This window comes from Homo sapiens, chromosome 6 (assembly GCF_000001405.40).
Source record: "Homo sapiens chromosome 6, GRCh38.p14 Primary Assembly".
Classification (NCBI taxonomy): Eukaryota; Metazoa; Chordata; class Mammalia; order Primates; family Hominidae; genus Homo; species Homo sapiens.
Window position 1 is genome coordinate 114,070,367 of NC_000006.12, and position 13,420 is coordinate 114,083,786.

At 38.4% G+C, this 13,420-nt stretch overlaps 1 protein-coding gene and 1 long non-coding RNA gene across 13 annotated transcripts in view; one reads left to right on the plus strand and one right to left on the minus strand.

Moving 5' to 3' along the window:
• Positions 1 to 13,420, plus strand: part of HDAC2-AS2 (HDAC2 and HS3ST5 antisense RNA 2) — a 371,029-nt gene that overhangs the window by 100,666 nt on the left and 256,943 nt on the right. The gene's annotated exons all lie outside the window — the stretch shown is intronic.
• HS3ST5 (heparan sulfate-glucosamine 3-sulfotransferase 5) overlaps positions 1 to 13,420 on the minus strand; it is a 287,428-nt gene that overhangs the window by 14,771 nt on the left and 259,237 nt on the right. Inside the window, exon 1 of one of the 12 annotated variants that reach the window (XM_011535588.3) lies at positions 11,142 to 12,347. The exons of the other annotated variants lie outside the window; for them this stretch is intronic. The gene's annotated coding sequence lies outside the window, so the exon portion shown is untranslated. Of the gene's footprint in view, positions 1 to 11,141; positions 12,348 to 13,420 lie in introns of those variants that run through there. 12 annotated transcript variants of the gene reach the window in all.

Genomic DNA, 13,420 nt, shown 5'->3' on the forward strand with positions numbered 1-13,420 from the left:
AGAAAATACTAATAAGTAATGATAGTAGCAATTATAATGAAAGGTCATGTTTCCATAATTTACCAAGGGTTTTTTTCATATTCACCAAGCCACTTATAATTAAAACTGACCAGAATCATGGATACCCCACTTTTTCTCTCCATAACTCAAGAACTATCTCTTAGAAAGATTTATAGTAGATGATCAAAATACCATTGGGATTAGCTGCCACTTGTCACAGACTCAGATTCTTATGTGCTGGTCTTTGTAAGATCTTGATTAAATCTGTCTTTGCCCTCTCATTATCACCCAATCCCTACCCACCCCTTCCCACAACACTGCCTCTCAATATCTCAGTGACTGGCTCCCCATCTGCCCCTCACCCTTGCCAAAAACCTTGGAAGTTGTCATTCTTGGCTCCACCCTGTCCCCATGTCCAATCAGCCAGTAAGATGCTACCTCCAGTCCTGTCAGAATCCACCCAGTTTCTGCCATCACTTGTGACTGCCTTAGTTCAGGCCACTGTGTGTTTTAGACTAACTTATGAGCTCCCAGGTGGTATCCCCACTATTAGTTTTGTTCCTTCCTCAATTTATTCTCCCTACTGATGCCAGAGTAATCTTTCCCAGTGGAAACTGGATCACATCATCTCCAGGCTTAATACCCTTTAATAGATGCCTATTATCCACAAGACCCTGTACTCCTTTCCACTGTAACTCCACATACCCTACCCAAGGCCTACATATGCAAACTGCAATACACAGAACAACTTGCAGTTCTTTTGAATAAGCCATGATCAGTTTTGCTTCAGGGCCTTTCTTCTTAAGATTTCCCTTGCTTGAAAATACCAAGTCTGTAATCAGATCTGTCAAATGGGATACCAATAACCTGCCCCACAGCACTGCTGTGAGGAGTAAATGGGCATGTGTTGCTTGGCTTATAGTATAAATGCTAGACACGTAGATGGATGCTTGCTCTCCCTCCCAGGCCTTGGTTTAATTCCTATGTTTTAGATCTTAGGTTCTCACTGCTCTCAGATTCCTTGGGAAAGTCTTTCTTGATCATTTAGGGCTGGTTTAGATGTTCTTCCTATATGGCACCACAGCAGTCTCTACTTAATTCTATTTAAGCCATATTGTAATTCTCTGTTTATTTGTGTGTAACTCTAACTACATTAAATTCTGTGAGATTAAGAAGTATGTGTTGTGCATTATTGAGTTATCTCCAGCATTTAGGGTCATTGATACTCAGTAAATGATTGCTGAATAATTCAATCAGTTAGATGAAATGAACTTTGACTATCCTAAGATTATGGCATCTGGATACCACATCTCTTTAGATGTGGTACTTTGTCTTTGTATACTACTTAGCAGGTTTGCCAAATGCTGTCTGTGTATAAATGACTTTAGTGTTTCTATCTTTTTATTTTGAAAAAAATCGAATACTCATATATCCTTTGCCTAGATTCGCTGATTGTTAATGTTTTTCCATATTTGTTTTATTTGTCTCTATAGAAGCACATATTACTTTTATGGAACCATTAAAAATAAGTGGCAGATCTCAACATTGCAGCATGTGAGAAGCCCCCACCTGACATGCACATGTTGCCCTGTGATAGAAGTGGGGCAGTGGGCATTCTTGTCTCAAAGCCTAGGGAGGTGAAATGTCCTGCTCAAAGCTGCAGACTGCTTAGTCTGGGGTTGTAAATAATTATATTAGGGCTTTCTACATTGCACCACTCTGCCTCCCTATGAAGTTCATGCAAAGCTGAAAATATTGCAGATTTTATTGGTAGAAAAAGATGTATCTCTCATCTTTGTCTAAACTTTCAATCTGCAAATTCTGAGTTGAGTGTTTAAAAAGAAAAAAACCTTTGGCAAAGTGGTGACAAAAAATACTCTTAAGAGATTCTTGTCTCCTCATACACTTTTCTGAATTCCTTTTAAGAAAGAAAAAAAAAATTGAAAAAGCTCTTTTTATATTTTAACACAGATGGTAGAGTCATGTGGTGATGCCCATCCACTGGCATGCTACAGCTGGCTCCTACTTTGGAAGCCAGTTGTTAAAGTCATTATTAAAAATTAAAATTGTATTATATAAATTTATAATTAAGTAGAGTAAAGCAAAGGTAATAAATTTGAAAAACTCCTTATTTCCTAATTATCTTACTCCATTTTACTATTACCTATGGTCTTGAGGTTAAGTCTGTTGCATCTGTACAATGGAATACTACACATCTCTTCCCAATTTCACATTTAGTGAATTCATCTTGGTAGCTTAAGATTTCATATTCAGTCAATTCATGGTGGTAGCTTAAAATTGGCCATGAAGAGGATAGGAAGAATCAATATCGTGAAAATGGCCATACTGCCCAAGGTGATTTATAGATTCAGTGCTATCCCCATCAAGCTACCAATAACTTTCTTCACAGAATTGGAAAAAAACTACTGTAAATTTCATATGGAATCAAAAAAGAGCCCACATAGCCAAGACAATCCTAAGCAAAAAGAACAAAGCTGGAGGCATCACGCTGCCTGACTTCAAACTATACTACAAGGCTACAGTAACCAAAACAGCATGGTACTGGTACCAAAACAGATATATAGACCAATGGGACAGAACAGAGGCCTCAGAAATAATGCCACACATCTACAACCATCTGATCTTTGACAAACCTGACAAAAACAAGAAATGGGGAAAGGATTCCTTATTTAATAAATGGTGCTGGGAAAACTGGCTAGCCATATGTAGAAAGCTGAAACTGGATCCCTTCCTTACACCTTATACAAAAATTAACTCAAGATGGAAAAGACTTATTGTAAGACCTAAAACCATAAAAACCCTAGAAGAAAACCTAGGCGATACCATTCAGGACATAGGCATGGGCAAAGACTTCATGACTAAAACACCAAAAGCAATGGCCACCAAAGCCAAAATAGACAAATGGGATCTAATTAAACTAAAGAGCTTCTGCACAGCAAAAGAAACTATCATCAGAGTGAACAGGCAACCTACAGAATGGGAGAAAATTTTTGCAATGTATCCACCTGACAAACGGCTAATATCCAGAATCTACAAAGAGCTTAAACACATTCACAAGAAAAAAACAAACCCCATCAAAAAGTGGGCAAAGGATAAGAACAGACACTTCTCAAAAGAAGACATTTATGCAGCCAACAGACATATGAAAAAATGCTCGTCATCACTGGTTATCAGAGAAATGCAGATCAAAACTACAATGAGATACCATCTCACACCAGTTAGAATGGCGATCATTAAAAAGGCAGGAAACAACAGATGCTGGAGAGGATGTGGAGAAATAGGAACACTTTTACACTGTTGATGGGAGTGTAAACTACCTACTAGTTCAATCATTGTGGAAGACAGTGTGGCAATTCCTCAAGGATCTAGAACCAGAAATACCACTTGACCCAGCAATCCCATTACTGGGTATATACCCAAAGGATTATAAATCATGCTACTATAAAGAGCCATGCACACATATGTTTATTGTGGCACTATTCACAATAGCAAAGACTTGGAACCAACCCAAATGTCCATCAATGGTAGACTGGATAAAGAAAAAGTGGCACATATACACCATGGAATATCATGCAGCCATAAAAAGGATGAGTTCATGTCCTTTGCAGAGAGATGGATGAGGGTGGAATCCATCATTCTCAGCAAAATAGCACAAGGTCAGAGAACCAACACCGCATGTTCTCACTCATAAGTGGGAGCTGAACAATGAGAACACATGGACACAGGGAGGGGAACATCACACACCATGGCCTGTTTGGGGGTAGGAGGCTGGGGGAGGGATAGCATTAGGAGAAATACCTAGTGTAAATGATGATTTGATGGGTACAGCAAACCAACATGGCACATGTATACCTATGTAACAAACCTGCACGTTATGCACATGTGACCTAGAACTTAAAGTATAATAATTAAAAAAAGAGCAAAAAAAAAAAGGCCATGAAGAATTTATGCAATAGAAATTGACAAATACTACAAACCACACCCCACTCCCCAAGAGCTAGTTGTTAAGTATTTACCAGGACATCACTAATTATGCCCCATTTATTTTTCTTTTGCACATTCAATAATCAGGCCTTTCCCAAGTTCCCATCAAGTGTGCAGTATGTTGCCAATAACTCTTCTAAAAAAGAAGGGGGCCTACCCCTCATCTTCTGTTTTTAGCCTCCCTCTCTATTCTGCCTTTTTACAGAGGCCTGTTTTCAATTCTGAGACCCCTGTGATCCTTTTCTTTCTCTTTTTGACTTTTCTAAGTCTTTCTTCCCAGCTTTTTTGCTTCTCCCTATACCCTGCCACTGACTATGTTCTCTAAATAAAATAACCTAAAACGAAAAGAGTACTGAGATATTATTCTTAAGTAACATTGATAGCAAAAGTACAGCTAAAAATCTTAGGAAACTTTATAAATATTTAATAAACCTATAAAATAATATATAATAAGCTTATATGCAAAATGATACTAAAAGTCTCCCCTTCTTAGGCATGCTAACATTTTCTTAAATTGCAGTATTAAAATTAGCATTCTTAACATGCTTCAAAACTTTTTTTCTTTTTATTGCCAGAGGCACCTTTCTTCTCTAAATCTCTGATCTTCCTTTTAGGGCCAGAAGGACTCCACCAAATTTCAACACTAAGATAACCACCTGTTACCAGTCATCAACAAATAGTTACTGAGGACCTGCCATGCATCAGGAACTGCAGATGCAGGAAATAATATGGACAACAGACACAGATTCTGCCTCATTACTTTTGTAGTTTTCTAGTGTTCAACTCTTGATATACATATAAGATCCGCATCATCTGTTAAACATAGAGCTTAGATCCTCTCATGAGAGTTCAGGCGCATTCAGGGTGATGTGGCTGTAGCCTCTGATTCTCTTAGATTGGCAGTGAAGGAAGAATCGCTACAAAGGCAGGATCCGCTGCACTTCAGAATCTCACCTCCTGGCCCTAAAATCCACCTTGAAGAGTCCTTGCCTCCTGCCCAAGTAGCCACAAACTACTCTCCAAAAAGCACAACTCTTCCTTCAACAAGACTCTTTTCTTCAAAAACCACATGCAAAGTGAAGTCTTCACTGGGTATGTTTAGACCAGACATTACTAAAGTAACTACTTGTGGTGAGACATGAGCTGGTAGCTGTGCGTTTACGTGGGGCTGTGTGCTCAGAAAGGCCCTGTGCTTGGTTTAATGCTCTATTGTCGCTGTCTTAGAATTCTCTGCATTTTTATTTTGCCCTGGGCCCCATAAATTATGTGCCTGATTCTGCAGCCAGACTTTTTGGTCTTTGAGGATAGATTACTTGTGTGGGGACTATGGCTCTTCACAGTGGTACCTCCTTTCTTCTTCAGATACTGAACTTTAAGAGACAGACACTGTCTTAACTCCATCACACAGGAACACAACCCTTCACATCTTCTTACAGAGCTGGGATTTTCACTCCCTTTTATTTCTCCCTCTCAGTTCTGTGGTCGTCCTTGAGGCTCGTCTTTTCCTTGGGTAACCAACACTGAAAATGGTGTCTGCCTTCAAGAACGTGGTAGCTCTCCACAAAGCCTTAGAGTCCTAAGAACAATAACCATAGCAGAGTATGTGCCACACAAGGTAGTGCTGTGAGATACACACACACACATGCCCCCAGAAGAAAGGGTTTCATCACAATAGATTACTGAGGGAAATCCTGTGAGGTGAAGAGGACAGTATCTCTATCAAACAGGTAAGAAAAGGCAGAGACTTGAGGACATCTGCTCCTTCTGTGGGGCAGGAAATTATTTCTCCATTTCATGTTCCCTTCAAGGGAAAAACAAAACAGGAAGCTCAAACTAGGTTACCCTGCTGCTATGTGACTTTGTGTAAACCACTTAACCCCCTGATCTTCTGTTTTTTCCTAGAAACAAAGGCCTGAGAAGGGATGAGTTCAGCAATCCCTCTGGGCCCCAAATTCTCTTATTCTAGGAAAAAATGAATGTTCTTATAATGAGAGATTAATGCAGAAGGAAGTAAAGACAACTGCATTGTGGTGGGAAATTTATGCCTGAGGTACATTTTAATTTTTAATGTCTTAATAGCCCCCAGTTTTAAATAGTCCTGACCTCTTTAAAGATGGCTGCACCACATCATACTGCCTATTACTGGGAGAAACAATCCTCTTGTCCTAAGACATAACATTTCTTAGAAAAGATACCGATCTTAAGAAAGATTCTACTGATGAGCTTTCAATTTGCTCTGTTGTCAGGGAGCCCATAGAGATCACATTTTGAAAAAATTAACCAAGGGCAGCTGAGGAAAATTGTCATAAAGAACTCGTTTTCCTTCTGTAATAATAATTACGTAAGAGCACTGTAATGAGAAAGAAACAAATGAAGAGGGGCACAGGAACAGGGCACAAAAAGCAGTGTTGTGCACGTGTCAAGTCGAATGGGAGATGGGGTAGAGATTAAGAGGAAAATGGACACCATTTGTTAGTAGATTAAGCAGAAAGTGTATCAGTCAGGATGCTCATAATTGCTCTATCAAATGGCTAAGGAAGCTATTTAGCTCTTTGTTTCTTCAGTTAACCATGAAGGGTGAATGTTAGAAATGAAAAGGAAAAAGGTTGATAAATTATACAGAACTGCAGGGTGGAATACTGCTTATCTTCCCTGGAGTTATGGTGAGAATAGCTTTGAGCAAATTCCAAATTTTCATATGGGTTCTTCATTTCTGTCCTCCATTCAGCTTTCCATAACAGGCATAGATTATTTATCACAGCTCCCGTTATTGCATCAGCTTGAGTAGTCCTCTGGCTCTGTCTGCAGGAGGATACTCATTTTGCATTTGTAATTACCAAACTTAAAAGGAGCCAGTTAATTCTGCTTCTGCTCAGGGGTCTCATTTAGTAGAATGATGTCTTAAGAAAAAATATGGGAACTGAATTTTGTTTGGGCCTGGAATCCCAATTACTCTTAATCCCAGTATCTCACTGGTATAGGTAACTAATGTTTATAGAAGGGATAAACTAATGTTTATCCACTCTTCCCCCAAATTTCTTTTCACTGCATTAAACAATTGTTAGTTTAGTAAATTTGACCTGCTAGGGAGCTCAGAAGCAGAATCCTTCCTTCTTTAATCTTGCATTTATATAGAAAAGTGTGAGTTGGAGAGGTAACAATTATAGTTAATTAAGTTAATATACATGGTCCAAACATCATTCTAGTGATATAGGCTCCTGCAGTTAAAGAGTTCCAGTTAACTGGATTAAGCTCCTCCCTCTGTTCCATGTAGCAAATATCAGTTTTATAGTAATATTAGTTCTATTTGTCATATCTGTTAACAGTTGAAGGTATCTATTTTAAAATCAAAGGTAGTATTCACTACCAGACAGAAAGCCAACTTTTAAATTTTATTTACCTCAAGTTTTGTTTTTGTTTTTAATGAAGACCAAAGAAATGTGTATATAAATGGCTTTTAATGCCATAGATACATTAAAAGTATAATGGTATTTTTATCATCAAGCTTCATTTCATTGTAGTTTTCATTATCCTCTCTCTGCAGTGACTTTTTTCTCCTTTTTAATTTCCATAACACTATGCCATGTATTTCTTTCATAATGACTGATGATGAATGCTGATTTTTAACATTAAATATTTTATGTGAAGAATTAAACCATTAGCAGACTGTGCAGAAATATGAATGTATCATATTCAAATTACCAAGTTAGATCCAAAAATTTAACATGTTTGATATAAAATTTTAGCAAATTCGTGTAAGTATAACCTCCTGAAAACTTTAGAGACAGATAACCCACTGTTCACTTAAGAAACATAAACATACAGTTTTCTTTTTCTTTTTCTTTTTTTTTCTGAGACGGGGTCTTGCTCTGTCATCCAGGCTGGAGTACATTGGTGCGATATCTGCTCACTGCAACCTCTGCCTCCCAGGTTCAAGCAATTCTCCTGCCTCAGCCTCATGAGTAGCTGGAACTACAGGCATGCACCACCAAGCCCAGCTAATTTTGGTATTTTTTTTAGTAGAGACGGGTTTTCACCATGTTGGCCAGGCTGGTCTCGAACTCCTGACCTCCCCTTGGCCTCCCAAAGTGCTGGGATTACAGGCGTGAGCCACCATGCCCGGCAAACACACAGTTTTCAAAATACTATCCATTTGTATAGTGCTTTTTCAGTTTTTAAAGCACAAGTTTAAACATTTTATTGGACTTTCACAACAAAAATATAAGAGACACAAGATATTTTATTCTCCATTCTATAGATGAGGAAGCCAAGACCTCATTAAAGTGTGGTGCCCCAGTCTACCTAGCACCTATAACTAGCAGAGTTCAAAATACAGTCTAGCTGTATTGACCTTCAGTGTTTGTGCTGGGTAAATTCATCCCCTTTCTATGAAGATTTGTCATTATTTGGTTCTAGGACTGGATATGCATTCATTAGTGCAAATCTAATCCTTGAGTAGTATAGGCACACCTTGGAGATGTCGTGGATTTGGTTTCAGAGCACTTCAATAAAGCGAAAATTGCAGTAAAGTGAGTCACACAGATCATTTGGTTTCCCAAGCATATAAAAGTTATGTTTACACTATATTGTAGTCTATTAAGTGTGTAATAGCATTATGTTTTAAAAAACAATGTACGTGCCTTAATTTTAAAATATTGTATTGCTAAAAAAATGCTAATGATCAGCTGGGCCTTCGGTGAGTTGTAATCTTTTTGTTGATGGAGGGTCTTGCTTCGATGTTGATGGCTGCTAACCAGGGTGGTGGTTGATCAAAATTGGGGTAGCTGTGGCAATTTCTTAAATTAAGACAACAGTGATTTGCCACATTGATTGACTCTTCTTTTTATGAAAGAGTTTTCAGTGGGATGCAATATTGTTTGACAGCATTTTAACCACAGTAGAATTTATTTCAAAATTGGAGTGTGTCCTCTCAAAATGTGTCTCTACTTTATCAATGAAGTTTATGTAATATTCTAAACCCACTGTTGTCATCTCAACAATGTTCACAGCATCCTCACCAGGAGTAAATTCCATTTCAAGAAACCATTTTCTTTGCTCAGCCATAAGAAGCAACTCCTCATCCTTTCAAGTTTGATCATGAGATTGCAGCAATTCAGTCACATCTTCAGATTCCACTAATTCTCTTGCTATTTCTACCATGTCTGCAGTTACTTCCTCCACTGAAGTCTTGAAGTTCCCAAAGTCATTCATGAGGGTTGATATCCATATCTGCCAAACATCTGTTAAGGTCAATAATTTGAACACCTTTCATGAATCACAGAAGTTCTTAATAGCAGCTAGAATGGTGAATCTTTTCCAGAAGGTGTTCAATTTGCTTTGCTCAGATCTATGAGAGGAATCACAATGGGAGCTATAGCCTTATGAAATATATTTCTTTTCTTTTCTTTTCTTTTTTGAGACGGAGTTTTGGCTCTTGTTGCCCAGGCTGGAGTGCAATGGTGCGATCTCAGCTCACCGCAACCTCCACCTACCTCCTGGGTTCAAGCGATTCTCCTGCCTTAGCCTCCCAAATTCCTGGGATTACAGGCATGTGCCACCATGCCTGGCTAATTTTGTTTTTTTTTAGTAGAGATAGGGTTTCTCCATGTTGGTCAGGCTGGTCTTGAACTTCCGACCTTAGGTGATCCGCCCGCCCCAGCCTTCCAAAGTGCTGGGATTATAGGCGTGAGCCACCACGCTCGGCCTGCAATGTACTTCTTAAATAATAAGACTTGAAAGTTGAAATTACTCCTTGATCCATGTACTGTAGAATGGATATTGTAATAGAAGGCATGAAAGCAACATTAATCTCCTTGTACATCTCCATCAGGACTCTTGGGTGATTAGGTCACCCAAGATTACTGTCAGTGAACAGTAATCTTTTGAAAGGAGCCTTTTTAAATAAACAGTAGGTCTCAACAGTAAGCTTAAACACATTCAATAAACGATGCTGTGAACAGATGTGATATTTACACATATGTTTAAAACGCTTTTTATTTAAAGTGAGAGACATCACAGAACATAAAACAGAACTACCATTTGACCCAGCAATCCCATTACTGAGTACATATCCAAAAGAAATTAAATTGTTCTACCAAAAGAAATGTGTACTCACATGTTTATTGCAGCACTATTCACAATAGCAAAGACATGGAATCAACCTAGGTGCCCATCAGTGGTGGACTGGATAAAGAAAATGTGGTGCATATACACTATGGAATAGTATGCAGCCATAAAAAATGAAACCATGTTCTTTGCAGCAATTTGGGTGCAGCTGGAGGCCATTATCCTAACTGACTTAATGCAGGAATAGAAAACCAAATACCGCATGTCTCACTTATAAGTGGGAGCTAAACATTGAGCACCCATGGACAAAAACATAGGAACAATAGACACTGCAGACTACTAGAGGTAGGAGGGAGAGAAGGGGCAAGGATTGAAAAACTAACTATTGGGTATTATGGTCAGTACCTGGGTGATGGTACCATTTGTACCCTAGACCTCAGGGTACAATGTACCCAGGTAACAAACTTGCACATGTACCCCCTGAATCTAAAATAAAAGTTGAAATTACAACAAAAGTAATAAAAAATAAAATGAGAGATGTGTGACTCTATCTTGAACACTTAGAGGCCATTGTAGGACTATTAACTGGTCTGCTTGCAATATTGTTGTGTCTCAGGGAATAGGGAGGCCTGAGGAGAGGAAGAAAGACAAGAACAGCTGGTTGGTGGAGCAGACAGCACACACACTTATTGATCAAGTCTGCTGTCTTATGTGGGTGTAGTTTATGGTGCCCGAAATAATTACAGTAGTAACATCAAAGATCACTGATCACAGATCACCACAACAGATATAATAATGAAAAAGTTTAAAATACTGAGGGAATTACCCAAATGTGGCACAGAGACACGAAATGAGCACATGCCTTTGGAGAAATGCTGCTGGCAGACTTGCTCAATGCAGGGTTGCAACACATCTTTAATTAAAAAAAAAAAGCAGTATCTGTGAAGCAGAATAAAGTGAGGCACAGTAAAACAAGGTACGCACAAATTTTAAAAGAGAGCTGAAGTAATTTTTGTAAAAGTACAGAACTTAGAAGAAATGAAAGAGGTGTCAAATAATTTGAAACTTACAGTTGTTAATAGTCTTACTCTCTCTGGATGGAGCAACGGTTCCTCTCATAAAATATCATGCTGGGATGAGAAGGATTATAGTAGATTCATCAAGGCTAGCAAAAGAGGAGATAAACTAGTTGCTTGAATAATTTCTGAGAATGACAACAGTAGAATTAGTACACCAGTTCCAATATCTCCTCCACACTAATAGGTACATTTTTTAGTCAGAAATTTCATTATAGACTGATTCTCCAAATCTCCCTATATGGGACATTATTTTTATTGCTGTTTTAGATAATATTTGTTTTAGATTTATCCACATTTATCAATACCATCGCTCACTATTCCTTTTTTATTGGTCTCAGCTTTATTGAGATATAATTCACATGCAACTCACCTATTTAAAAGTGTACCTACATTTTAATATATTCACAGTATTGTGCAATCATCACCATAATTAACTTTACATTTACGTTTTCATCATCCCCCAAAAAAACACTGTACCCTTTAGCAGTCTACCCCATTTCTCCATTTTTCCCTCCCAGCCCTTGGCAACCACTAATCTAATTTCTGTCGCACTATTCCTTCTTGCATCTCAGCTCTTTCATTTTCCTTCTGCCAGAAGTAGAATTTCCTTCCATTCAGCAAACAAAAATTGTGACGTTTCAAACCAAATGCAGAAATATTTTCCTTAATTTCTTCTCATTCCCAAAGGCAAAAATATGTAGGACTTCTTTCTTTGAGCTGTTTTCTTCATTAGGATGAACTAATTCTTGAAATATCATCCTAATGATCAGCTGTTGAGACTAGCGGTGAGTTGAAGCTGGTTTTAAAAGAGTTAAGTTACTAAAATTTTCTCCTCAAAAAATTAATCTGACTTTCTTTTTCTTAACTGGATTTTAAGTCATTTAGTGTTCAGTAAAGACCTCTTAGGTTAGTAATTGCCTCCAAAATATATAAGACACAAACTTGTAAAGAAGAGTCAGCATCCAGGAGGCAAAACACCTTCACGGGGACCAGGGAAATGTATTGAGATATCAGAATAAAGTTCGCATTTATTGAGCGGTGTTAAAGAAAAACAAAGCTAGACACTAGTTAAAGGTGATAAAGACAGCTTCTATTCAGTAATACTACTGCAGTAGTAGAGAGAGACTTCAGTATGTTAGCTATGAGTTCTAAATTTCTCTTCAAATAATCAATATGTCAGTATGTTCAATTCTTTGCCTTCTACTTTTAAACTTAACTTCCTCGGAAAGCAACCTTTTTCGATTACCTGCTCCACCCTGACTCATTCCAATTACCTGCTCTGTCATAACCATTTTTCCTGCCAAACCTTACTCACCCCGTCATTCTCTTTAAATTAGCCAACTGGAATTAGTTTAGCCTGTGTGGTCTAACCCTAGCCAACAGGGGAACAACACAGCAGCAGGGGCCACATGTGTCAGGGATAAGAACCCCTTCCCCTCCCTTGTCCAAGGGTGCACTCACCATTGCTCCATCTGTAAGGGCACACCCTTCTATAGAAGTACATTGCCTTGCTGAGAATTAAAAAGAAAATTTTACATTCAAGTGCTATTTCTTTTGCAGCACGGAAACTTTATTTATAACAAGTATAAAACTGAGCTCGACTCCAACTGTGTAGAGGTGATGGTGGTTTAAAGAGAGACTGATGAAACAGGGAAGGAGAAACCAGTGGCAGGTCCAACAGAGTGAGGGAAATGGAAAATTACAAAAACAAGAAGGGGCTTGGTCAATGTAATCAGGCCATCTGGTTTATTAATTGGCACTTATATGGAGAAGAAACAAACTTCGTACCTCCAGGACAGGAGGCAGTTTTACAAATTAGGTAAGGCACCTAACAAAATTCTTCCCTTACCCTCCCAAGGAGCCTGGGAGGCAAAAGAACAAGAGGGAGGTAAGAAGACAGGAGACGGGATGGGAGTGGGGGAGTGGGGGTTGGGGATCGGTGGAACTCACACTACCTCCTTTGAGGTCAAAGAGACAGCTCCAGGTCATTAAGGAGACAGTTCTGGGTGGTAGAAGATTTACATCTCAAACAGGCAGTTTATAATCAGGCTAACTATTCATACTTTGAAAGCAATCTCTCTTTTCACTTTTTCCACTTTTAAGATCTTCTCTTTTACTTTGGTGTTCTATAGCTTTTCTTTAATATGTCTTCGTGTAGAAATCTTTTCATTTATCTTGTTTGGGATCCACTAGGTTTCCCATTTCTAAGACTGGATCTTTTAAAAATTTGGGGAAATTCTTGTCACCCCATTGAGTATTCCTCTTCTCCA